Raw genomic sequence first — 27,137 nt, forward strand, 5'->3', positions numbered from 1 at the left:
GAACTGGACATGGGGGCACACACCTGTAGTTCCAGCAACTCAGGAGGCTGAGGCAGGAAGATTGCTTGAGCCCAAGAGTTCAAGGCTGCGGTGAGCTATCATCACGCCACTGCACTCCAGCCTGGGTGACAGAGTGCAGATAAGACCCCATCTCTAAAAAAAGAGAAAAAGAATACAGTAAGTAACATTTAAAATTTAAAAATCACAAATTGGCGGGGTGCGGTGGCTCACGCCTGTAATCCCAGCACTCTGGGAGGCTGAGGCAGGTGGATCACCTGAGGTCAGGTGTTCGAGACCAGTCTGGCCAACATGGTGAAACCCCATCTCTAATAAAAATACAAAAATTAGCCGGGTGTGGTCGTGGGTGCCTGTAATCCCAGCTACTCGGGAGGCTGAGGCAGGAGAATTGCTTGAACCCGAGAGGCAGAGGGTGCAGTGAGCCAAGATCACGCCACTGTACTCTACCCTGGGCGACAGAGCAAGACTCTGTCTCAAAAAAAAAAAAATCAAGAAGTAATGATCTGATTATGTTATTTAGAAATATAGAGATAAATACCAGAAGAAACTACGGAAAGAGCTCTGGGAGCAGGAATTATAAATGAGGAGGAGTAGACAGAAAACTGCAGTGTTTCCTTTGAAGCCTTGTAGAACTATATAGCTTATTAAAGTGGATTGCTTTGATTTATTTTAAAAAAAAAATTGAACGTAAAAAAATAGAGAAAGTATTGAGAGATCCTTTAAAATGGTTCCTGTGCTTAAAAGTATTTGTCAGTTATCATAGTGCCTGAAATGCCAACATTAAAGATGTATTTCTCTTTTTGATAGTAGCCAATCTAATAGGTGTGAGGTGATATAGCTCATTGTGGTTTTCATTTGCAATTCTCTGATGATTAGAAATGTTGAGCATTTTTTCATATGCAGGTTGAATATCCCTTATCCAAAAAAATGGGACCAGAAGTATTTCAGATTTCTGATTTTTTTGGATTTTGGAATATGTGCAGAATATGTACCCCTTGAGCATTTCTAATCTGAAAAGCTGAAATCCAAAATGCTCCCATGAGCATTTCCTCTGAGTGTCATGTCAGTGTTCAAAAAGTTTGAGATTTGGGGACATTTCAGATTTCAGATGTTCATATTAGGGATGCTGAACCTGTGTCTGTTGGCCATTTTTATGTCTTTTGAGAAATGTCTCTTCAAGTCCTTTGCCCATTTTTTAATAAGATTATTGGTTGTTATTGAGTAACTTCAGTTCCTTCTACATTTTGGAGATTAGTTCCTTATCGAGTGTATAATTTACAGAGATTTTCTCCCAAGCTGTGGGTTGCCTCTTCACTCTATTGTTTTCCTTTGCTGTGTAGAATCTTTTTAGTGTGATGCAATCCCTTTTGTCTATTTTTACTTTTATTGCCTATGCTTTTGAGATCATATCAAACAAATATCAAACAAATAACTGCCCAGGCCAATGTCATGAAGCTTTTTCCTTACATTTTCCTTTAGTACTTTTATAGTTTCAGGTTGTACATTTAAGTCTTTAATCCATTTTGAATTGATTCTTTATAATGGGTGAAATAAGGGTTGATTTTCATTGTTCTGCATGTGGATATCCAGCTTTCCCAGTACCATTTATTGATGAGACTCTCCTTTCCCTATTGTATGTTCTTGGCACCTTTGTCAGAAATCAGTTGGCCATAGATATGTGTATTTATTTGGGGCTTTTCTATCCTATTTCATTGGTGAGTAATAACAAATGTTGGCAAGGATGTGGAAAAGAGAGAATCCTTATACACTATTGGCATTGCAAATTAGTACAACCATTTTGGGAAACAATATGGAGGTTTCTCAAAAAACTAAAACTAGAATTACCATATGTTCCAGCAATCCCATTTATAGATATATACCCAAAGGAATTGAAATCAGTATATCAAACAGATGTCCATGCTGCCATGTTCATTGCAGCATTATGTACAATAGCCAAGATGCAGAAATAACCTAAGTGCCCATCAGTGAATGAATGGTTTTTTTAAGTATGCCATATATACACAATGGAAAACTATTCAGACTTTAAAAAAAAAAAAAAACAGGAAAATCTGTCATTCTCGGCAACATAGCTGAACCTAGAGGACATTATGTTAAATAAATAAACCAGTCACAGACAAATATTGTATGATGTCACTTATATGTGGAATCTAAAAAATCAAACTCAAAGTCGAGAGTAGAATAATGGTTACCAGAGGCTGTAGAGAGTAGTAGAGTAGATGGAGAAAGGGGAGACATTGGTTAATAGGTACAAAGTTTTAGTTAGGAAGAATAAGTTCTGCTATTGCACAGCTTGGTGACTATAGTTAATAATAATGCATATTTTCAAATTGCTAAAAGAGAGGTTTTTTGTTTTTGTTTTTTGTTTTTTTTGTGTTTTTTTGAGACGGGGTCTCATTTGACCATGCAGTGGCGTGATCACGGCTCACTGCAGCCTAGACCTCTAGGGCTCAAGTGATCTTCACACCTTAGCCTCATTAGTAACTGGGACTACAGGCACATGCCACCACACCCAGCCAATTTTATTTTTATTATTTTCAATAGAGACAAGATTTTTCTGTGTTGCCCGGGCTGGTCTCAAACTCCTGGGCTCAAGCAGTCCACGCCCCTCAGCCTCCCAAAGTGCTGGGATTACAAATGTGAACCACTGTGCTCAGCCTAAAAGAGAGGATTTTAGATGTTCTCACCACAAATAAATGATAAACATTTGAGGTGATGGATATGCAAAAAAAAATGATGTATTTCTCATTCATACCAGGATGTATTACTATTCAGTAATAAAGCAGAGCTGAGTATTTAAAAATATTTATCTTATCAGAGATCATTCCTCCAAAGAAAGATGGACAAAGTTTCACACCAGTTAGATGATTCAAATAAGAAGACATGTTCTTCAGCCATTTGCTGTCAAGAAATAAGATATGTCATTAAAAATAAATATACTACAATCAAGTAGGGTCTGCTTACCTCTATAGAAGAACATCCAAACAATCAAATAAAAGAAGGAACTTCATTTCTCTATACATTCAAGCAAGTGTTTTGTGCCCATCTGGTGCCAGGCACTGTCGTAGGTGCTGGAGTTTCAGTGATGAAGGCCTTGTCCTTATGAAGCTTATATTGCCCCACTCTTAGTTTCTGAATAAAGGACACCTAGGAAACTAGAAAAAAAAAATTCAGTTAAAAAATAAAGGCAAATTAATGTACATTGACATATTTTATTTAAAATAAGGTGTTTATGGGTTTTTTTTTTAAAGAACAACTAGGATTGAAAATTATATTTTGGCAGTGAAGGGACAGACATTTAGTTCCATAAGAGATGAACGGGAAAAGCATGAAAAGAACAAGTGACCAAATTTAGACTTAACCATCAAAAGGAGGAAGAGCGTCTTTGATTTGGAGGAGAAAGGTGCACTTGAGTAAAGTCAGAGTTTTTAGATGGCAGAAAGAGAGCATGAGAATTCATACCTTTCATACCTGAGGATCTCACTTTTTTCAGTGAGGCAAGAATCAAGATCATCTGAACATAACAAAGGCAGGAGAGCTGGTTATCAGGGACTTGAAGAGAGGTAAATTTTGAATTAAACCACTAGGGAATACAGGAAAGGAGTCATCTAAAGGGTTACTGTGTCCTATTAGCGATTGTGTCCAGCCATCCTTAGAAATAACTTTGTAACAGGATCATAATTATAAGATTCTTACCAGCAGTGTCCAGCAACCTGGAAATAGAGCAGAGAAAACAGTTTGGTTTAGAGAAGATTAGCAAGTAAGGCTGGCCGGGCGCGGTGGCTCACGCCTGTAATCGCAGCACTTTGGGAGGCAGAGGCAGGCGAATCACGAGGTCAGGAGCTCGAGACCAGCCTGGCCAACATGGTGAAACCCCATCTCTACTAAAAATACAAAAATATTAGCCGAGCATGGTGGCGGGCGCCTGTAATCCCAGCTACTCAGGAGGCTGAGGCAGGAGAATTGCTTGAACCCGGGAGGCAGAGGTTGCAGAGAGCCGAGATCGCGCCACTGCATTCCAGCCAGGGCGACAGTCCGAGACTCCATCTCAAAAAAAAAAAAAAAAGGCTAAATTGAGAAGAGGTCAAGGGTGTGTTGGAACGAAGGATGGTGTTGAGTACAGTCATTGAAATGATTGACCTTGGAATCCAGGCCGCACTGGGAAGTAAGATAAATTAAGGTGAGACCAGTAGCCTGGGTTGGGACTAATAGAAGCTGAGAGCTTGGAGGCTGTGATAAATGTAAAGAGCAAATGTAATGGGAACACAGGCATGAAAAGCCTGGAAGCATCAAGTAGAGCCATTCTAGATGGTAAGGTCTGAGGTGTAGCATATAAAACAGAAATGGAAGATGAGATTCACATCTGTAGTTATCAGCCTTAAATGGAAGCTTTATTTCTGGTAACTTCACTGGACAGTATAAAATAGCCATGTGAAAAGTAAATGCAGAAAGCATCTCCATTGTCAAAAGAACACAAAGACTAAGATTGACATTTAATTATGACTCAAGCTTAGGTGGAACCATAGTCTGTTGCTTATTCTTACCCTTTCTCACAGGAATTCACAATGAACAACTATTTTTCTGTTGGACCTGATGCTCTCATGGCTCTCAATTTTCATGCTCATCGTGAGAAGGCACCATCTCTGTTTTCTAGCAGAATTCTTAATAAGGTGTGTTGGATAAAATAACATTTCCTGCTTATCACCGAAGGTACAGTAAAAATCAATAGTTCAATTATATTTAGCACTCCTAGATTCAGATTTAACTAACTTACAGAAATATTTACCTGCTCTGTTTTGTGTAGGGTTGTCAAATTAGATCTTTTTTTTTTTTAATTAGATCTTTAAATGTGCTTTATCAGGCCAGGCACAGTGGCTCATGCCTGTAATCCTAGCACTTTTGGGAGGCGGAGGCAGGTGGATCACTTGAGGTCAGGAGTTCAAGACCAGCCTGGCCAACATGGTGAAACCCTGTCTCTACTAAAAATACAAATTTAGCCGGGCATGGTGGCAGGTGTCTGTAATCCCAGCCACTCGGGAGGCTGAGGTAGGAGAATCTCTTGAAACCAGGAGGCAAAAGTTGCAGTGAGCCGAGATCATACCACTGCACTCCAACTTGGGCAACAGAATGAAACTCCATCTCAAAAAACAAAACAAAACAACTTTATCAAAGTATTATATAACTCTAACAAATTTTTTAAATTCAAATTTGGGATGTTTTATAGGATATTTTGCTTAGATGGCAACTAAATGGAATATATGATAGTTTATCTTAAATGGCAGCTAAAATTGGAAGGAAATTTTAGGCAGAATAAATTTTTGGTGAAGTCATTAATGGAAAAGTAGATTTCATTGGTTTGAAAAACCTCCAAAAGGCAGATGAGATAAAAGAGCAGCCTGTTTGCCACAGCTTTGAACTAAGGTCATCTCTGGTTTCTAGTATAGTTGATTCCGTTGATGGAATTTTGCTTAGGAATTTTTTTAATAACGTTCGGTGATTGACCAACAGGATATCAAAAATAAATGCCTAGCAATTATATTCCTGGTTCTGTTTTACAAATATTTCAAATTTTGAAATAGTTCCCTTTTATTAATATAGTTACTAAGGTAATACGTATTACTATTTATACAATTGATAATTAACTCAGTCCTTACATCAACCTTTTTGTATTCATAAGTGATTAGAAAATGTTTGTTAGATTAATACGCATTACTATTCCTAAGTAATCTGAAGTACTAGGAAAAAGTGGAATTTTCTAATTCGAATATTTTTCTTTATAAAATACAACTTTTTTGATAAATTGGGAGAAAACACCATTTAGAAAAAAATCACTTCTAGGCCGCGCATGGTGGCTCACGCCTGTAATCCCAGCACTTTGAGAGGCCAAGGTGGGTAGATCACGAGGTCAGGAGATGGAGACCATCCTGGCCAACATGGTGAAACCCCATCTCTACTAAAAATACAAAAATTAGCCGGATGTGGTGGTGCACGCCTGTAGTCCCAGCTACTTGAGAGACTGAGTCAGGAGAATCACTTGAACCCAGGAGGCGGAGGTTGCAGTGGGCCGAGATCGCGCAGCTGCACTCCAGCCTGGTGACAGAGCGAGACTCCATCTCAAAAAAAAAAAAAAAAAAGAAAAAGAAAAAATCACTTCTATCCCACATTTCCCCTGAGAAAGAGGATAATTAAACTTAAATGGAATGGCCTGTATTGTCATCTTCCAAAAAAGAAGGATGAGTAATATTTCATCTACTGTACCACAGTTCACCTAGAACTTTTAAACTATTAATAGCCTAAGAGAATAAAATGTAAAATACAAATGATGCCAAAAGTATCTGTAATATGTTAAAGGCATTTTTATTTTTACATTGTGTTTTGATTATAGATTTCCATTGCTGCTCCTAGTGGATTCCAATTTTACCCTTTAAAATTACTAGAATGGAGGTGTTGGATAGGGCCAGAGGTTGCACACCAAAAGTATCCCCTTTGGTTGCCCTTCTTTTCATCAGCATCTAGTCTACCATAAGGAGAATGTGTGCTTCAACATTCTTAAAGGGAGCTTTGATACAGCGTATTTTTTCTTATTGTTTACAGGGTTAGATTGTTTTAATATTATATTTTCTGTCCATTTTTCATAGGCGGTTTACTTATTCTATGGAACCAAAGATTGTTTAGTGCAAGAATGTAAAGATTTGAATAAAAAAGTTGAGGTAAGCTATTAACACTTTTTATTTTTTAAAGTTTTAGGTGGTCTCTGGATTATGAAGACTTTTTAAACAGAAATGCTAAACTTTGTTAATATATTTTGCCAGCATACATAGAGTATTTATTTGTGTGCCAGGCACTTTGCTACATGCTTTATACACATTGTCCCTCTAAATTCTCTCCACAATTCTATAAGGTATGTATTATATATTCACATTATGCAGAAAAGAAAACTATTTTAAATGAAGTAATTTGCCCAAATTCTCTCATTTAATGCCTAAATGCACATGTAATCAAGATGTGAACCCAGATTTATGTAAATCCAGTCTGTTTAACTATTAGGGTGAGTGGCCTCCATTCATACATGATAAATAATTTACAGTTATCTAATACAGTGCCTGACTCAACATAAAGACACAGAGGAAGTTTAAATGGAAAGTTTAATTCAGATTATTTTTGTCGGGTATCTCTCTTACATACCAAAATAAAAATGTATAAATACAAAAAAAAAAAAATTAGCCAGGCGTGGTGGCGGGCGCCTGTAGTCCCAGCTACTTGGAAGGCTGAGGCAGGAGAATGGCGTGGACCCGGGAGGCGGAGCTTGCAGTGAGCCAAGATCGCGACGCTGCATTCCAGCCTGGGGGACAGAGCAAGACTCCGTCTCAAAAAAAACTAATAAAAAATAATAAAAATGTATAAATAGTAAAAATAGAATATTAATGATTGCTTATTGCAACAGCATCTCTGACATCATGATATGGCAGTCTTTTTTTTTTTGAGATGGAGTCTCACTCTGTCATCCAGGCTGGAGTGCAGTGGTGCGATCTCCGCTCACTGCAAGCTCTGTCTCCCTGGTTCACACCATTCTCCTGCCTCATCCTCCTAAGCAGCTGGGATTACAGGCGCCCACCACTACGCCCGGCTAATTTTTTGTATTTTTAGTAGAGACGGGGTTTCACGTGTTAGCCAGGATGGTCTCGATCTCCTGACCTCGTGATCTGCCCGACTCAGCCTCCCAAAGTGCTGGGATTACAGGCGTAAGCCACCGCGCCCAGCCAGATATGGCAGTCTTATATGTATTCCTTGCTTGATTCCAAAAAGAATCTGTAATGGTTAATAGCAACAACAGAGACATTAATTCAGAGAAACCTAGAACTGATAAAATAAATAAAAAGAGATCATAAACAGTTTGGGAAAAGAGACAATGAGCAGGGAGTAAGGAGACTGATTATACATTAGTCAAGGAAAAATGTTGCCGTTAGGCGTAATGTTTAGCTCAAAGTCTCTGGGCTGCCATGGCGTAGAAGTAAGCAAGATTTTCTGTTAAAAAGAGTGTTATGTTACTTTATCATATTTTATTTTTCCTAGGCTTTGATGGTAGAGTAAAGCATACAAGCATATAAAATAAAGACTTTTATTTTATTGTCTGACATTTTATTTATATAAAAATACAAATTATTTTTAATTATACAGAAATAAAATAAATTTTATTTATATACCTACAAAATAGTCATTGTCCTCGATACTGGAGGTAGACAGTGATAAATCCCTTGCTCTACATTTACAGTCTAGGGTGAAGAAAGATATTTAAGCCAGTCTGGGCACAGTGGCTCATGCCTGTAATCCCAGCACTTTGGGAGGCCAAGGTGGGAGGATTGCTTGAGGCAAGGAGACTAGCCTGGGCAACATAGTGAGACTCCACTTTTATAAAAAATAAAAATAGCTGAGCATAGTGGCATGTACCTGTGGTCCTAGCTGCTCAGGAGGCTGAGGGAGGCAGATCACTTGAACCCAGCAGGCAGAGGCTACAGTAAGCCATGATTGTACCACTGCACACCAGTCTGGGTGACAGATTGAGACCCTGTCTCCAAGAAGAAACCAAAAAGATATTTAAATCACATTGCAATGCAGTATGAGAAGTTATATAAGAAAAGCATGTGGTCTTACAGGAATAAATAACTGCAATACGTAACCTAGGAGCTACAGAGACTAGGGAAAGTGGCAGTATAAGCAAGTCTTTCTGGAAGAAGTGACAAGCTGGAATCTGAAAATAAGTAAGAGTTAGCTAAGAGAAGGAGGAGGGGAAGATTGCTGTAGGCTAAAAACAGCATCTGCAAAAGACCCAGAGGCATACATGGCATATTTGAGTGAGTTCAGGCTGGAGCATAGCTTTCAGGAAGGAAAGACAAGCGCTGAGGCTAGAGAGATGGACAGAAGTCAAATCACAGAGTGTCATATTTGCCTGGTATTGGATCTTGTATTTCATCATGGGCATTGAAGGGTTAAAGTGAAGCCACTGAAGGGTGGTAATTAGAGGATGACATATTTGCATTTTTTAAGTGTCGATCCAACCGCTCTGTGAGGGATGCATAAGAAAGTAAAGCTAGAGGCAGATAGGCCAGATAGAAACATTTTAGGGAAGAAATGGTGAAGAGAGAGAAAGACATAGAAATAGCATCAACAGTTTTTAGTGATTAAGGGGATGTGGAGGGTAAAAAGTCAAAGAAATCAAAGATAACTGCCAGGTTTCTGGCTTAAACACCTGGGTTGGGGGTGAGTTAACCTACTTAACCAGGAAAGAGTAAGTAAGAGTTAGCTAAGAGAAGGAGGAGGGGAAGATGTTACTCTTTCCTGGTAAGTACATTGGGGAACAGGGAGCAAATTGCAGAAAAGTTGCTTGATCAATTTTTTACATAAGAGTTTTTGGTGCCAGTCCATGGACATGTTTTATGGGCAGTGGATAGATGGATCTGGCCCAGTTTACTTTCCTGAGAAGGAACATCCAGGGAAGTAGAGTCTGTGGTTCCCAGGAAGCAAAGGGAAAGAAGATTTTAGGAAAAGAGGAAGGGGGTCAGCAAGTGTCAGGTGCTACTGAAACAGCAAGTTAGGTAAGTCCTGAAAAAATCACGAGGCTCAACAAAAAGAACATTATTGTTGATGTTGATAGAAGCAGTTCTACTGAAGAGATAGAAAAGGGCAGATGAGAGGCCCTGAGTGAGAGGTAGGGAGCATCTTCTACATGTGCATCTCTCATATATAAGCACATTTATGAAAATAGATGTGAATTCTAAATGGATGTGTGTGGAAATTGTGTATCCTGTAGTCACTATCTATTTGTATTTCTTTAAAGCTAGAACTGGATGGTGAGCGAGTAGCACTGCCCAGCTTGGAAGGTATTATAGTTCTGAACATCGGATACTGGGGCGGTGGCTGCAGACTATGGGAAGGGATGGGGGACGAGACTTACCCTCTAGCCAGGTATGTACATTTGTGGTCTGTTTTTTTATGTCACTATTTTATTTAAAGCAATCTCTTGTTTATAGACTTTAACATTTTTCCTCAAATTTTCTTTTTTGTGTATCTCATTAGTTATAAATATTTTTTAAGTTGATGGTCCAACTGTGTTAAAAAGTAATTGCTCTAGCATAACTGATTTTTTATTGCATCATATAATCCATATTTTCTTTTTCCAATTTTAGGCATGACGATGGTCTGCTGGAAGTCGTTGGAGTATATGGGTCTTTCCACTGTGCTCAGATTCAAGTAAAACTGGCTAATCCTTTTCGAATAGGACAGGCACATACAGTGAGGGTAGGTGAAATATAGCTGTAACAGGCTAATTTGTCCCAATCCAATTCTAAGCTGTTGATATGTAAAATATACATGCTATACTTTTCTTTAAACAGTGGTTTATGGCTCATGCAGCTGGTCACTGTACACTAGCGGCTAGAGTGGGATGAGGAAGAAACAGAAACATGGCTCAAGATCCATGAGATAAAACGTTCACTTGAAAAAAGAATTCCTTAATCAATGAATAAAAACATATTCAGATTAATATTTTCTAAAAATGAAATGCATAAGGGTTAAGGGATTGTGGATGGTATTATTAAGGAAGACCTTTCTAAATTTGGGGGGACTGACTTTTAAACATTATTTGTTCCCTAATATCAGCTGATTTTGAAGTGCTCCATGATGCCAATGCAGGTGGATGGGGAGCCTTGGGCCCAAGGGCCCTGCACTGTCACCATAACTCACAAGACACATGCAATGATGTTATATTTCTCTGGAGAACAAACAGATGATGACATCTCTAGTACTTCGGATCAAGAAGATATAAAGGCGACTGAATAGATGGATGAGGGAGTGAAAACTTTGCATAGAATCCTCACGCAAGTAGATACATGTTCATCCAAAAGTATTAATAGAAATTCTCTATCAGCTATTCAGTCTTAATTTCACTAGTAGTATAATGGGTATACATTTTTGTAAATAGCATCCCCAAACCAGCCAGCCTTCAGTTATTTACAAATGTTTGTTCTTTTTTCAGCAAAATACTTCAAATGAATAGTATTAACTTACAAAAAGTCACAAAAACTTACATGAGAGTGAAAATTTGTTATGACTGTTTTGAGAGTGGGACTCACTCTGAAGTATGTGCTGTCTCATGTCTTATTTTTGAACCATGCATATGATGGACACACAATGGATGGACACATTATATCTCCAACAAGGTGTGGGTGGAAAGATCAAATTAACCTGCTTTTTTGAAAGGAAATGATTACTGTCAAACCAGCATGGTTAATTGTGAGCATCCTCCTGCAGCATGCCCCTTAAGATTTTCTACAACCCAAACCAAGTGTATGTATTGATTTCTAGGAACCCCCAAAAGGAGAATAGTAAAAAAAGATCATACTTAAAATTTGTATTACAATTTTTATTTTAGGAACTTATTCAGACACGTAAATGTTGTTTAATTCTGTAGGTAACCATTTGAGCTGCAATTCAGGATCTTTTTTATAACACCAGTGTAGCCAAAAGAGAAACAGATAAGTGAATTGGTAAGAAATAAGATTCAGAGCACTTGGGATTGTAAGTTATAGGTTCTGAGCTGAACTGTTTATCAGCCGCTCTTTTTATTAAAAGACAGTGTCAACACTTCAAAAAACGTGCTTAAAGGAGACAACGGTGAGATTAATTGCTTAGAAAAAGCTCAAGGCTGACTGATAAGTTTTAAAAATTTGGTGGTCTTGTAGTATTTTGAAATACAGTAGTCTTTTAACAGAATTTCCCCTTAGGGAGGTAAGTGGACAGAAATCTTTGCTAAAATGTTTATATCATATTTATTTTAAAATGAGAGAGATATATTTTTAAATTATTTATTATTTACCTTGTGGTATGGTACCTGTGTTTAGTGTTTACGTTCTGTAGCTTTATTTAATAAGTTAAATTGATCACATAAATTCTGCTAGTCACAATCAGATAGAAATTTAGTCTATTAATTAAAATTCTAATTTAATTCTCCTGACAGAAATCTAGATATTCTTATTCTTCACAAATATTCCTCATTGTATTGAAAAATGAAGGAGGGCATGAAAAGCACTAGGGAACTACTTTTGGATAACTGAAAGCTTTGTTTCATTGTTTTATTTGCCCCTCAATTGCCACAAACTTACTGAAGGGCTAGTTTCATGGTTCCCATTAGAGGGTGCTTGTTCGCTGCTGTTGACCAGCCCAAGGGTCGTGACCCACAGGTCGGCTGACCCAGAGGGCATCCAGCCTGGTGTTTTTCTGACACATGGCCCAGGCTTTGTGGTCTTTCATGACATTAATCTCTGAAAGATCAGAATGTATCCCCCAAAATACCATTAGCTATCTTTGAGGGTCTATTATGAATCTGTCATCCATGAATTGCCATAAACCTAAGTTTGCCTCACCTCAGGCCCAGACCATGTTTTCAAAGAGCAACTTAGTAATGTATACAGTAGTCAGTACATTTTATGAAATACTCTATTTTGCTAAATTAACCTCTTGCAGATCTCCTCAGGTGATCTTAAATTCTAGTCTTGAGAAACTTTGTGAGCAGATCTGTTTTCAGCTTCTTTATATACCTTTCATGGTAAGTAACCATGGCAGTGAGGATGGCAGAGTTTTGTTTTTTTTTTTTTTAATGGGCCAATCATGTTCTGAGTATTATGAAGTTTATCCTTTCATTCATGATCAAAATTGTTAAAGACATCACATTTTATAAATACACTGTTAAATCCACTTTGCTGTAGGTTATAGTTTACCTGTTATATAATTCGTAGTGCTAATTGTAGTAGAAGCAAATCAATTTAGGATGTTGGAACGAAAATAATCACAATAACTAATACAGCTTTTTAATTGTGAAAACTACAATTAAAAATTATAATTTTAATACCAACCATAATATTACACTGTATTTAGAACAGGCTTATGTAAAATGCCCTCATTTATCTAAATAAGTTGATTTTTTGGTTATTGTAATCTAGTAAGGTTTTTGCATCACTACTGGTCTGTCATGAAGTTTTTCTGCTGGCTTATTCACTTATTTAGACTTCATTTAGGGAAGCTATTTCAGAATACCATCTCATAAAATGTATCATTATCTTGTTTTTGCAAAATTCACTTACTTTTTGGGCACATTTACCCAGCATTTCAAATAAGTGTATAGGCATGTGCCTTGTTTAAGTACAATTTATAAGACTTCATGTTTGCAAGTTACATATTAGGGTAGTGATTGTTTATATTACCAGGGATTCTACACTTTACCAAAAAAAATTGCCATAAGATTTTCCTGTTCCATTTTAAATTGTCTTGATATTTAAAAAAATAACTTCTACATTCTCAGGAAGAAATACATGAAGTAAATCATATCTCCATGTCTGTTTCCAGATTTCTCTAATCTTTTTACTATCCCAATACATTCCTAATTCCTATAAACGTAGTGGCTTAAATACTGAATACCTGGCAGCTCTTAAAGATCCCTTAGGCAGATGATGATAATTTTCAGTGTTTCGTCATGTTTAATAGAAATCAAACTGACTTGTGTTTTAAAATACAAGTTGTCTGCTAGTAAAGTTACATGATTTAGGTGTGTTTTAGGTTTTCTGCAACAATTAGCTGTGAACCCCTAATGTAGCTAAGTTTATACAAATTTTATAATCAAAATTATTTATTTTTATTTTTTTAGAGTATGTCAAAAACATATAGTGTTTGCTTTGTGAAATACATTTGCTTAGAGTTATAAAATATACTGTGACTCAGAAATTGTAAAGTCAGTTTGCGTTGTAAAAATGAATACTACCAGCATGTCAAAAGAAAAATAATTTACATTTGTAATATAAAGTAAAATTGTATTTAATATATTTATTGAATTTTAAATTTGCACTAACTTGAAAACTTTAAAGGTTATACTAATTTAATGATTAATGTGGACCCAAATACATAATTTGGCCAAAAAAGTCATTAGAATGGGTAATGGTTTTGTGTGGTTTTCCTTCAAAATGATAATATTGAAGCAAGAACCAGCATTTTATATTGATAATTTTTTTAATATTTCTACCCAGTTGAGGACAGTGGAATATAAGTAGATATATTTAAAATATCTAGATATTTAAAAAGAAAGAAAAGGTTGTTTATCCCAATCTGAATTCATTCTCAGCAACAAGACAGAAAAGGTGGTTTGGGTTTTGCTTTTAAACAGTGTCCCCCTGTCTTTTTCAATTTTTCCCTTGAAGCCTTTCTCTTGTTCTTCAGAGTACGCGCTGCAGGCTATCTGCAGCATCAGAATGCCTGGGCAGGCTGTTGAAAGTATGGATTCCTGAGCCCAACCCTTAACTTAATGATTCCCTGTCTCTGGAGATGCAACATAGAAATCTCTGTTTTTATTAACAAGCGCCTCAGGCGATTCTTAAGCATACTGAAATTTGAAAGCTTCTGGTCTGAACCTCATGTATTCACCTAGGGCTTTTGCTAGGTGGGATACCATGCCGAAAAATTGAATTAATTGTATGTTCTTAAAATTGTTTTTCTTCTACTCCGCTGTCCTCTTCCCTCAAAATCACTTTTCTAAAAGAACTCTATGAAAAACTTATTTGTATCATACCCAAATTGATATATTTGTCTGAACTCTGTTACATAAAAATTGGTATGATTCATATGTGGAATCAGTTTTTGGACTGTGACCCATGCAGTGTTGGGGGACAAGGAGTTGCTTCAGGAGTTAGTGCAGTGCGCCTCCAAGGGGCAGTGAGCCATGGAGGCGCCTGCCTTCTCACTGCAGTCAATGCAGCCACACTTGTGTATACTGAGTGCTGCTTCAGATCTCAGTAGATAAAATAATTCCACATTTAAAATGATTCTGCTATTTTTTATAAAGGGTTTGAAAGCCACTACTATAATGACTTTGTCACCTAATTGATTTTCTACTAATTTTTACATATTCAGAAACTTCGTGTTTTTTTGGTGGACAGAATATTTTGGAGGTCTCCGTCGCTGTTTAGAATGTGGCCACTTGGCTGTTTCACAGTTTTTAAAGCTATTTTATTGAATAGTAAAGCAGTGAACTTAGCCTTTGTTCTTTGTGTTTCTAATTTAAGCATATAGTCTATTTAATTTTTGATATGTAAATACACATCAATACATATATATTTACCCATGTGGCCCTGTGTAGTCAGTGCATGAGGCTTGCATAGCCCAGAAAGGTACATTCCAGGGTTCTGGGGAAAGAATTTTAAAATGCCATCCTCTAATACAGACGTTTATAAAACTTAAATGAAATGATTGGGCTTAACCATATGCAAGAAAGTCTGCAGAAAATAAATCACCTAGAAACTATAAATAGAAATGTGCTGCTGAGGCTGGGCACGGTGGCTCACACCTGTAATCCCAGCACTTGGGGGGCTAAGGGAGGCGTATCACCTGAGGTCAGGAGTTTGAGACAAGCCTGGTCAACATGGTGAAACGCCGTCTCTACTAAAAATACAAAAAAAATTAGCCAGGTACATTGGCACATGCCTTTAATCCCAGCTAATCAGGAGGCTGAGGCACGAGAATTGCTCGAACCCAGGCGGCAGAGCTTGCAGTGAGCGGAGATCACATGACTGCACTCCAGCCTGGGCAACAGAGCAAGACTCCATCTCAAAAAAAAAAAGGCCGGGCGTGGTGGCTCACGCCTGTAATCCCAGCACTTTGGGAGGCTGAGGCAGGTGGATCACGAGGTCAGGAGATCGAGACTATCCTGGCTAACACGGTGACACCCCGCCTCTACTAAAAATCCAAAAATTTAGCCGGGCATGGTGGCGGGCACCTGTAGTCCCAGCTACTCGGGAGGCTGAGGCAGGAGAATGGCGTGAACCCGGGAGGCAGAGCTTGCAGGGAGGCGGAGCTTGCAGCGAGCCGAGATAGTGCCACTGCAGTGGGGCCTGGGCCAAAGAGTGAGACTCCATCTCAAAAAAAAAAAAAAAGAAAGAAATGTGTTGCTGGTATCAGATATCAGACCAAGAACACTTCAGTCTCTCTAAGGATGCCCTGAGCTACCTCACTGTTAAAGGACGACATCAACACAGAATGCACTAAACAGGAAATAAGCTGTAATCTAGAGAATTTCCATTATGTGTTACTTTTTGGTGACTAACATGGAATGTTGAAAAGGAAGAGCTGGAAAGCTCAGTTGTTTTCCTTGTTCCTCTGACATTGTCCAGGCAAGAGGGCATCCTGATCAGATGAGTAGATTTGGCTGAGAAAAACCCTAGAGTAAGGCAGGCACTTTGTGGAGGTGGATGATGATGGCTCATAAAAACGTTTGTTCTCAGTCCAGTTCAGGGCTCTGCCAGCAGTCTTTCAGATCTGAACTGCTTAAACAAACCCTACAGATAAATTGGCACTCTGATTTGTAATTCTGTTTGTACAAGTTTAGAGCAGCCTAGCTCGAGTCCTCAACCCCAGTCCTCTTAGAAGTGAACTGATTGCACTGGATCCCTAAACCCACAATGTTGAGGACACATGTGATGACTCCACTTGCTCAGCCAGCTGGCCTCTTGCACTTTCCCCTGCCCACCACTTGTAACTACCACTTAATTATCTTGTGTTAATTGCTTTTGTTGTGTTGGGTCTGTATTTTTGTGGTCAGTGCCTGCAGGCAGAAATGTGAAAGCATTTGGTATGTTGAAGATACTTGCTTCTTTTTTAATAAAATTAAAAGTGCAGCACGTAAGTATGATACTGTGTAGTTTTTTGACACAACCATGAGATACAATAAGCAGCTTTGACTTAGTGTCCCAAAAAGTGGTTCTTGGTCTACAGCAGGGCAAACATATATGTGGCAAGTTCTGATCACATACTTTTAGACAGAAAGAATAAAAAATTCATATTGCATGGCTTTTGTAGCCTAAGAGCACAGAATCATACACGTGTGTTAGGAGAAACATTCATTCTCACGCATATAAACTGGCTCCTGGCAGAGTAGAGCAGTAAGTGGGATCAAAGGTGAATTCACCTTATTTTCAGTTGGTAGAGTATGGAAAAATGTATCACTTATTTGAAATACCTGAATGGAAACCCAGCCTCTACTACTGTAACTTAACACTTGTTCTTCCTGAGCCTCAAATTTTCTTTCTCTGTAAGAATGGGAATTAATGCCCACCTACGGGTTGCAAGTGCTTACAGGAGCTGGGCAAGCAACGAAGGTAAGAGTTGTAGAGACTTCGGTAAACTGGAGCACATGATTCCTGGGAAGCAGGCCTAGTGTAAACAATTTATTTTTCTAGAAAAGACAGAAGTTTAGAGTATATGAAATCTAATTTTTAAGTATTGGTTGGCAACTAATTGACTATCGTCTACCATAAGGTTATATGATAATTATTAGGGCAGGAGAGTGAATGCATCTTAATATGCATGGCAGAACTGTGTGTTTCCTTCCATCTGGATTTTCATAAAGCTTTCTGATTTATCAGTAACGATCTGAAAAATGTACTGTGGCATGTAACATCTTTTATTCATTTTATTAGGCATTAGAGGAAGAATATTCTGTAGTCCTGCTTTATTCTGCCATCTTTACCTGGAAATCCATTTTTATAAAATTTTTGTAATAAAAATTCACTTGATCACTTGCCTGCTTTCTTTTAAACAGTGCCAAGCGTAATGCCCCTTGATAATTTACATATATGTGAACGTGGCTGTGATAGCTGCTGATGTTCACACATAGGCCATCTTACATGTAATGATCCATGTTTGGACTTAAACAGCTTCACACATTTATTGTACAGTTAGGTGTCACATGCTTTTACTTTTTATTTTATAATCTGTATTTCTGTGAGGTAGACATTATTGGCTCCATGTTATATACATTGATAGCCCGGAGCTAGAGATTGAACCCAGGCCATCCTCCCCACTGCCTTTCATCATCAACACAACCACCACCAACAGTATTTTAAAAGTGTTAAATATTGGCAGACGTGTCATTGTTCTGAGCACTAGGACTAGGGCTTATGCGGCTGTCTGAGGAATTCCCTGTACAAGGAAACATCATATACCAAAAAGTTACTCATGGAAGGAGTTTGGAGATGATGAGCTAAAAGTATTACACATGGACTATTGTAAAAGAAAAAAAAGCAGGCACAATAAAATTTTAGAATGTACTTAAGAAGCAATTCGTGACTTGGGAAACCCCAAACCCAATGAGGATTTAGTGTTTCAATGACACAACATCAGAGGCAAGTATTCATAGAGTGCATACAGAAGCAAAATTAAGAAATGATTTGATTGGTTGCCTTTTTTGGCTTACTTTCTTGGAAAGTCCCCAGTCTCATGATCATGTTAGTTGGCTGCTTATGATTGGCTGAGGTTAAGTTTTGTATCTAACATAAGCATTTACCAAAAATGACCCAAGTTAAGTTTCATTTATGTTTACAGTTTAAGTAGGTTAGGGCTATTTTTAAGGCCTAGTTGGTTTGTTTGCTCAGGAATGTTTCAAGCCTAGTTTCCATTTTAATTTTGCTTTGACAGTTCCCCACTTTTAGTCACCCCGTCCGCAAGCTGAGAGTGTGACCAAATGGCATAGCATTACTCTCAGTTACCACTATTGACATAGTCTAGGAAGAAGAGTCAGATGTTTATCAATAGCTGCCCTAGGGCTCAGAGTCACCCTCGGGAATGACATAGTCCATGCTGGTTTCCTCCAGTTGTCTGATCCTTACGGCAATCTTTTGACATATGAGTGACTACTGGAAAGCACTTAAACATCCTTGAAAGGACCAGCCTCTGTGAATAACACCTGTAATCTCAGAACTTTGGAGGCCAGAGTAGGGGAATTGCTTGAGCAGGAGTTCAAGACCAGCTAGACAATGTAACAAGACCCCATGTCTACAAAAAAAAAAAAATTTTTTTTTAATTAGCTGGGCAGGGCTGGGTATGGAGGCTTACACCTGTAATCCCAGAATTGTGGGAGGCCAAGGCAGGTGGATTGCTAGAGCTCAGGAGTTCGAGACCAACCTAAGCAACATATTGAAACCCCATCTCTACCAAAAATACAAAAAATTAGCCGGGCGTGGTGGCACACACCTCTGGTCCCAGCTGCTCGGGAGGCTGATGGAGGAGGGTCACTTGAGCCTGAGAGGCAGAGGTTGCAGTGAGCCGAGATTGCGCCACAGCACTCCATCCTGGGTGACAGACTGAGACCTCATCTCAAAAAAATACAAATTAGCTGGGTAGTGCTCACTACAGCAGCACATATACTAAAATTGGAACAATACAGAGAAGGTTAGCATGGCCCCTGAACAAGGATGACATGCAAATTCATGAAATGTTCCATATTTTTACATATAAAAGCAAGCTGAATCCTGATCACCTTGAGTACATGTCATCAGGGACCTCCTGAGGCTGTGTCCCGTGCCCATGCATGTCCTTAATCTTGGCAAAATAAACTTTCTAAATTGGAAAAAAAAAAATTAGCTGAGTGTGGTGATGCACACCTGTAGTCCCAGCTACTCAGGAGACGGAGGTGGGAGGATCACTTTTGTCCAGGAGTTCCAGGCTACAGTGAGGTAGCATTGCACCACTGTACTCCTGCCTGGGTCAAAGAGCACGACACTGTCGCTCAAAAATAAATTTTAAAAATTATTGAGAAAATACAATGCACTGTGTTGGGTAAGCCATTGTGTATGGGTACCCACTGTGTATGGGTAAACACAATAACTACAAGAAGAATAATAGCAAAGGATTGAAAACCCTGAGTAAAGATTCCCAGGAGCCAAGATTTAACCAACTGAATAAATCAAGGGAGGCAGTGCTAATGAGATGAAAACCTTGTGTTCTTTAGGAACTTTTACATTTTGGGCAACAATATCAAATATAACAAACACTTAATGTTTTGTTAACATAAAAACACCGTAAGCTTCTCCCTGCTGAGCAGCTGAAGTGTCAGTAACTCCTACTTTGGGGTACTGCTGAGGTGAAATTATTCATCTCATATTGTACTGCTTGAAGAAAATTCGTAAGTATCACTAAAACTTTTTTCAAGAGTTGCTGAAATACTAACAAGCAATTTTTTCAATTCAGAGGCTCCCAGCTGAGGAAAAAGAGCTCTTACAAAAGAGTGAAATCTGTAACCCTTGTATGATTGAGTCTGGAGATCACTCAGGAGGCTCATTTCTGAGGGCTCACTTTATGTACAAGTGACCTGAGGTTCAGAATTTGACTAACATTTAGAGTCATCTGGTCATTTTAGGTAGGACATAGCCAAAACATTCTGATCATTTAGGTGGAAAAACCTTTATATATTTGTCATACAAGATGAACAATCCGGCTGGGCGTGGTGGCTCATGCCTGTAATCCCAGCACTTTGGGAGGCCAAGGCGAGTGGATCACCTGAGGTTGTGAGTGTGAGACCAGCCTGGCCAACATGGTGAAACCCCATCTCTACTAAAAATACAAAAAAATTAGCTGGGCATGGTGGCAGTTGCCTGTAATCCCAGCTACTTGGGAGGCTGAAGCAGGAGAAATCGCTTGAATTTGGGAGGCAGAGGTTTCAGTGAGCCGAGATCATGCCATTGCACTCCAAGCTGGGCAACAAGAGCAAAACTCCATCTCACAAAAAAAAAAAAAAAAAAAGATGAACGATCCACAAGTTGATTAGGGCCTTTGGGAGATAATCAGGATTAAATAAGGTGGTCAGGGTGGGCCTCCCATTATCAGGCTGGTGAAAGGAGCCATGACCTTCAAACTGATACTAAATCTTGACCATGATTTAGGTAATGGCAATGGACTCTGGACCAATAAAGCCCTCAGACAACTGGACGGAGGGGGAGATCAGACAAATAAGAACCTATTATTTCTAAATAAGTGAGACATTATGTAAATGGGAACATATAAACAGAGCCGTATGGTCTGGAGTCAAGTAACATACATATTAGCAGGGCATGTGATCATTTATAAAACAATTTTATATAAAGTATTCCCCATAGAAACCCAATGGAGGAGGCAGAGTAGATATAATTTTTCTAAATGAGTACATTGCGATTCAGAAAGGCTGATGACATGCCAGGGTTGCACGGAGCTGGGATACTGATCCAGTCTTGTGACTCCAAAATTTAGTGGAGTTTGTTGTTCATTTTTTTCCCCCACTAAGTTATGCCACCTTTTTCCTAGGTCAGGGGTTCCTAGCCTTTATTATATCATAAGCCAGCCTCTATAAGAAGTTGGCTATAGCTACAGACACTTCCTCCCTCCCTCTGACCCTAGCAGTTTGGCGCATACAGCAGAATTTTGCAGCCAACTTGGAGGGCCTCCGAGACTCCAATTAAGAACCTCTGAACCAAAGATACCAGTCCTAGCTGAGGTATCTCAGACATATTTAGTATAAACTGGCAATGAGCTTGTTCTGTCTGGTTATCTTCTGTCTGTGGCCATTTTCTATTCTGATTCATCCACAAGCCCACAGAGAAGTCAGTAACACACAGGTTCAGAAAAGCCAGTGGTGGAGAAATGTTTCCGGGAGAAAAAACAGTGGCACTAGGGTTGCGCCTCTAGGGAGGTGCCATTCGACATGTTCTGGGAACAACATGCTGGACAAGCTGGCAAGAAGAAAAGACTGATGCGTGGCCAGGCGCGGTTGCTCATGCCTGTAATCACAGCACTTTGGGAGGCCGAGGCGAGTGGATCACCTGAGGTCAGGAGTTCAAGACCAGCCTGGCCAACATGGTGAAACCCCGTCTCTACTAAAAATACAAAAAAATTAGCTGGGTGTGGTGGCGGGTGCCTGTTGTCCCAGCTACTTGGGAGGCTGAGGCAGTAGAATTGCTTGAACTCGGGAGGAGGAGGTTTCAGTGAGCCAAGATCATGCCATTGCACTCCAGCCTGGGCAACAAGAGCAAAACTCCATCTCAAAAAAAAAAACAGATGAACAATCCAGTATTATTGAGAGAAAGGTGTAAAGTGAATCCCATTATCCGCCAGTTGGGGGTGACATGAATGCCATAGCTATTCTTTGTCATATCTGCATTTGCACATTGCCACGTTGAATGGTTATGCTTTAAAATTGGAGAGTTGGAACCAAAAACAGTTCACTGTACTTGATAAAGTAACTCATGTATGTCATCAACAACTAAGGATGACTGTTTCCTCTTCAAATATGCCCCGAGTATTTATCCAATAAACAAAACTAGTTATTTTCTATAGTGGTACTATAGAGTCATTCCATTTGCTTCTAGAGTTTCCAGTGAACCAATGCCTAATTTCAGTGAGCTCTCTATGATATAGTTAAGGGTATCATGGTCATGTTCTGGTATTATATCTGCATCATTATATAGAGTAGTTCAGTCTCCATAATCTATATCAAACCAAAGACTTTGATTACAGAGGGAGTCTGGACCACTGCTGAGATTAGTCCCAGTTTTTCTTTTCTCTCTCTCTCTTTTTTTTTTTTTTTTTTTTTTGAGACAGAGTCTCAATCTGTTGCCCAGGCTGGAGTTAAGTGGAACAAACATGGCTCACTGTAGGCTCTCCCTCCAGGGCTTAAGTGATCCTCCCACTGCAGCCTCCCAAGTAGCTGGGACTACAGGCGTGCATCACCATGCCTGGCTAATTTTTGTATTTTTGCTTAGTAGAGACAGGGTTTCACCATTTTGCCCAGGCTGGTCTTGAACTCCTGGGCTCAAGCAATCTGCCTGCCTTGGCCTCCCAAAGTGTTGGGATTACAGACATGAGCCAGAGCACCCAGCCCCACTGACGGATTTTTCTCTAGGCATAGAGAAAAATTACCAGTGATAAAATCAGTAGTAGTTGTAGGCCATTCCTTTGCTTCTATTGCTTCTTCCCAGTGCTGTTTGTCGATCTGAGCTACCTACCAAGGGAAGGATACTAAACCCTTTCATGAACGCAGTTTCCTGAATTACTCACTCAAGCATGTGTAGGAGCAGGTTCTAATATTAGTTGTGATTCTTCCCATTCATCTAGATAACTATGTATCTAGCAATGCATTGGTTAATGCTGTAGTTTGCATGTATTCCCTTAAATTTCATGTATTTGAAACTTAATCCCCAAATTCACAAGTTGATTAGAGATACGGCCTTTGGGAGGTAATCAGGATTAAATAAGGTGGTCAGGGTGGGCCTCCCATTATCAGGCTGGTGAAAGGAGCCATGACCTTCAAACTGATACTAAATCTTGACCATGATTTAGGTAATGGCAATGGACTCTGGGCCAATGAAACCCTCAGACAACTGGAGGGAGGGGGAGAAAAGACAAGTAAGAACCTATTATTTCTAAATAAGTGAGACATTATGTAAATGGGAACACATAAACAGAGCCGTATGGTCTGGAGTCAAGTAACATACATATTAGCAGGGCATATGATCATTTATAAAATAATTTTATATAAAGTATTCCCCATAGAAACCCAATTGAGGAGGCAGAGTAGATATAATTTTTCTAAATGAGTACATTGCGATTCAGAAAGGCTGATGACATGCCAGGATTGCACAGAGCTAGGATACTGATCCAGTCTTGTGACTCCAAAATTTAGTGGAGTTTGTTGTTCCTTTATTTTTTCTCCCACTAAGTTATGCCATCTTTTTCCTAGATCAGGGGTTCCTAGCTTTTATTGTATCATAAGCCAACCTCTATAAGAAGTTGGCTATAGTTACAGACACTTCCTCCCTCCCTCTGACCCTAGCAGTTTGGCGCATACAGCAGAATTTTGCAGCCAACTTGGAGGGCCTCCGAGACTCCAATTAAGAACCTCTGAACCAAAGATACCAGTCCTAGCTGAGGTATCTCAGACATATTTAGTATAAACTGGCAATGAGCTTGTTCTGTCTGGTTATCTTCCTCTGTCTCTGGCCATTTTCTATTCTGATTCATCCACAAGCCCACAGAGAAGTCAGTAACACACAGGTTCAGAAAAGCTAGTGGTGGAGAATGCTCGCTTTGGCAGCACATATACAGAAAAGCTAGTGGTAGAGAAACGTTTCTTGGAGAAAAAAAGTGGCATTTAGGCTGCACCTCTAAAGAGATGCCATTCTGACATGTTCTGGGAACAACATGTTGGCAAGCTGGCAAGAAGAAAAGACTCATGCATGGCCAGGTGCGGTTGCTCACGCCTGTAATCCCAGCACTTTGGGAGGCTAAAGTGGGCTGATCACCTGAGGTCAGGAGTTTAAGACTAGCCTGGCCAACATGACAAAACCCTGTCTCTATTAAAAACACAAAAATTAGCCGGGTATGGTGGCGGACACCTGCAGTCCCAGCTACTCAGGAGGCTGAGGCAGGAGAATCCCTTGAACCCGGGAGGCGGACGTTGCAGTGAACTGAGATCGCACCATTGCATTCCAGCCTGGGTGACAAGAGCAAAACTCCATCTCAAAAAAAAAAAAAAAAAAAAAAAAAAGAACCTAAAGCATGCCATAAATCTGTGAACTATGAACTTTAGGGTGCCATGTACAAAAATGGCATTTTAAGATTATCCTGGGAGCAGTGTGGAAGATGAGTTGTAAGGGGGAAGGATTAGAAAGAGGAAAGTTATTCGATAGAAGTAGAGCAGAAATGAGAACATTCATGGAGGAAGAACTGACAGGCTAAGATGTAGGATACCTAGAGGAAAGGGGTAAGGGATCTCTCAAGATTTTCAGCCTTGGAAGAACGAATGTGTTCAATAACTATTTATTGTGTACACTCTATTGATGATAGAAGTGTGGAGGTGCAGGGCGTCAAGGCCAAAGCCAAGTTCTGAGTCAACCAGTCAAGTTGCAAGGAGCTACTTTAAGATTTAGAGAGTTTATTACTTACGTAGACAGCAAAAAGAATAAATGTGCCAGCTTCCTGTGATCTTTGTCCTACATACCACGAAGTGTATGACACCAAATCAAAGACCCACATGACTGCAGTGTGAGTTGTGGGATACCCCGTTGCCGAAGTGCTAATCCTAGAAGCTCTATCCTGAGGAAGCCGGGACAGAAAGCCTCCACGTCACCAGAACCCCCAAGATATGAGAAACTGTCTCATGACAGCTTCCCAGGAGAGATAAGGAGGTGAACAGAAGATCTCCTCACAATGGCTATGTACACAGGCTTCCCAGCCTCCCACATCCAGGAAGACCATGAGGCGTTCTGCCAAGACTCTGCCTAAGTGGATACATGCAAGGTCACCATGATGCGGTGGTGGAGCTGTTCCCCAACACAGGGGAGAGCTGGTTTTGAGGAACAAGAAATAAACATGGTTTTAAATACATAGACTGTAAAGTTACATTCAGACATTCACATGGAATTGACCGGGGCTTTTGTTTTCATCAACTTTGTCTTGGCTGTTACACAGCAGTGGATAACCAGAGCACAGCTGTTGATTGATCACCCAACACCCACTTCCCTTCTCTTTCCCTGCAGCAGACTGCCACGTCGGTCCAAATGACAGCCAAGTACTCAGAGAAGGTGACCCACCCCAACTCAGGAGTAACCAACATGCGAATCCCATTCTCTTTGCAGTTGGAGGTGGACGTGCAAGTTAACTCTAGCCAATGAGATGTGAGGGGGAGATCTGCAGGGTGCCTCCAGGAAAGGCTTCCTGGCTCTTAAAAAGACAGAGACAATGTCATAACTGGGTGCAATGCCTGCAACATTGCAGCCATCTTCTGACCATGAGGGACTCAGTGCTGAGGACAAAGCCAACAGGCCAAGAAAGGTGGTGTAGAAAGAAGGAAGGAGCCCTTGATGACAATGTTGAGACAATGTTGAGTCAACCAACCCCACAGCTGCCCTAGCTGGGACTACTGGATATGTGAGATGAAATTTTTCTTTATTCATTTATTTATTTATTTATTTTGAGACAGGGTTTTACTCCATCACCCAGGTTGGGGAGCAGCGATCATAGCTCACTTCAGCCTTGAAGTCCTCGGCTCAAGTGATCCTCCCACCTCAGCCTCCCAAGTAACTGGGGCTACAGGAACGCTCCACCACACCCAGCCCTTATTTTTTTCAGTTGAGTTTTCTGCTCATTGCTACCAAAAGCAGCATCCTAACTGATACTTATGTAAAGTCCTGTACATTACCAGGAACATAGGAAGTTGAAATAAATGTCAGCTATTACATGATGATGATGAAGAAGAAAGAAGAGGAAGAGGAAGAGGAAGAGGAAGAAGAAGAAGAAAGAAGAGGAAGAAGAAGAAGAAGAAGAAGAACAAGAAGAAGAAGAAGAAGAAGAAGAAGAAGAAGAAGAAGAAGAAGAAGAAGAAGAAGGAGAAGGAGAAGAAGAAGAAAAAAAAAAGTGGGTGGATTCTTGAAGGGCAAAATGCTAAGGTGAAAATAGCAGAGATCCTGGACCTTGGAGAACACTCACCTTTAGGGGAGACTGGACAGAGGATGAAATGACAAATAATCAGTAAAGGAAAGGGAAATGAAGTTTAATGCAAGCAAAGGGAATGAGAATAATACACAAGGAATACTAGTTCCATCACGTGCAATGCCACAGAGAGGACTGTTTCCCTTTCTCCCTTTGGGGGAGACCTCAAGGGGAACCAAATTTGATTCACAAAGGCTCACCTTTATGTACCAGTGGATGTCTTTTTTTTTTTTTTTTTTTTTTGAGATGGAGTCTCGCTCTGTCACCCAGGCTGGAGTGCGGTGGGGCGATCTCGGCTCACTGCAACCTCCGCCTCCTGGGTTGAAGCGATTCTCCTGCCTCAGCCTCCCGAGTAGCTTGGATTACAGGTGCATGCCACCACTCCCGGCTACGTTTTGTATTTTTAGTAGAGACCAGGTTTCACCATGTTGGCCAGGGTGGTCTTGAACTCCTGACCTCAAGTGATCTGCCCTCCTCGGCCTCCCAAAATGCTGGGATTACAGGCATGAGCCACCACACCCTGCACCAGTTGATGTCTTTTAAGGTGTCTTTCTAGGCCAGTGATTCTCAAAGTGCAGTTCCCAGACCAGCAGCCTCAACAATACCTGAGAACTTGCTAGAAATGTGAATTTGTGAATTTTCGAGCTCCACCTTAAACCTGTTGAATCAGAAACTCTGGGAGTGGAGCTTGAGAATCTGGTTTTTTTTTTAGTTATTTTATATATATGGAGAGTGAGAGTGAGGCTGGTGGCCAGGCGCGGTGGCTCATG

General features: G+C 39.8%; 1 protein-coding gene, 1 long non-coding RNA gene and 1 pseudogene across 10 annotated transcripts in view; 2 read left to right on the forward strand and 1 right to left on the reverse strand.

Annotated features, from left to right (window-relative positions):
- The window catches only part of DGKE (diacylglycerol kinase epsilon), a 35,417-nt gene extending 17,769 nt beyond the window's left edge, over positions 1 to 17,648 (forward strand). For 5 of the 9 annotated variants that reach the window (XM_047436959.1, XM_011525394.4, XM_017025243.3 and 2 more), the window contains 5 exons: positions 4,593 to 4,706; positions 6,675 to 6,746; positions 9,872 to 9,999; positions 10,221 to 10,332; positions 10,693 to 17,648. In XM_047436959.1, coding sequence (XP_047292915.1) covers positions 4,593 to 4,706; positions 6,675 to 6,746; positions 9,872 to 9,999; positions 10,221 to 10,332; positions 10,693 to 10,872 — 606 coding nt within the window. In that variant the 3' untranslated portion in view covers positions 10,873 to 17,648. Of the gene's footprint in view, positions 1 to 4,592; positions 4,747 to 6,674; positions 6,747 to 9,871; positions 10,000 to 10,220; positions 10,333 to 10,427; positions 10,577 to 10,692 lie in introns of those variants that run through there. The other 4 variants (XM_011525395.3, XM_017025244.3, XR_002958079.2 and 1 more) reach the window with 4 other exon arrangements.
- Positions 122 to 25,785, reverse strand: LOC124904037 (uncharacterized). The gene is made up of 3 exons (XR_007065858.1): positions 24,823 to 25,785; positions 3,001 to 3,191; positions 122 to 153 (listed from the first exon to the last, which is right to left on the reverse strand). It is a non-coding gene; the product is annotated as an uncharacterized LOC124904037 (long non-coding RNA).
- On the forward strand, positions 19,251 to 19,357 carry RNU6-1158P (RNA, U6 small nuclear 1158, pseudogene; annotated as a pseudogene).
- Positions 25,786 to 27,137: the final 1,352 nt, after the last annotated feature.

This window comes from Homo sapiens, chromosome 17 (assembly GCF_000001405.40).
Source record: "Homo sapiens chromosome 17, GRCh38.p14 Primary Assembly".
Lineage (NCBI taxonomy): Eukaryota > Metazoa > Chordata > Mammalia > Primates > Hominidae > Homo > Homo sapiens.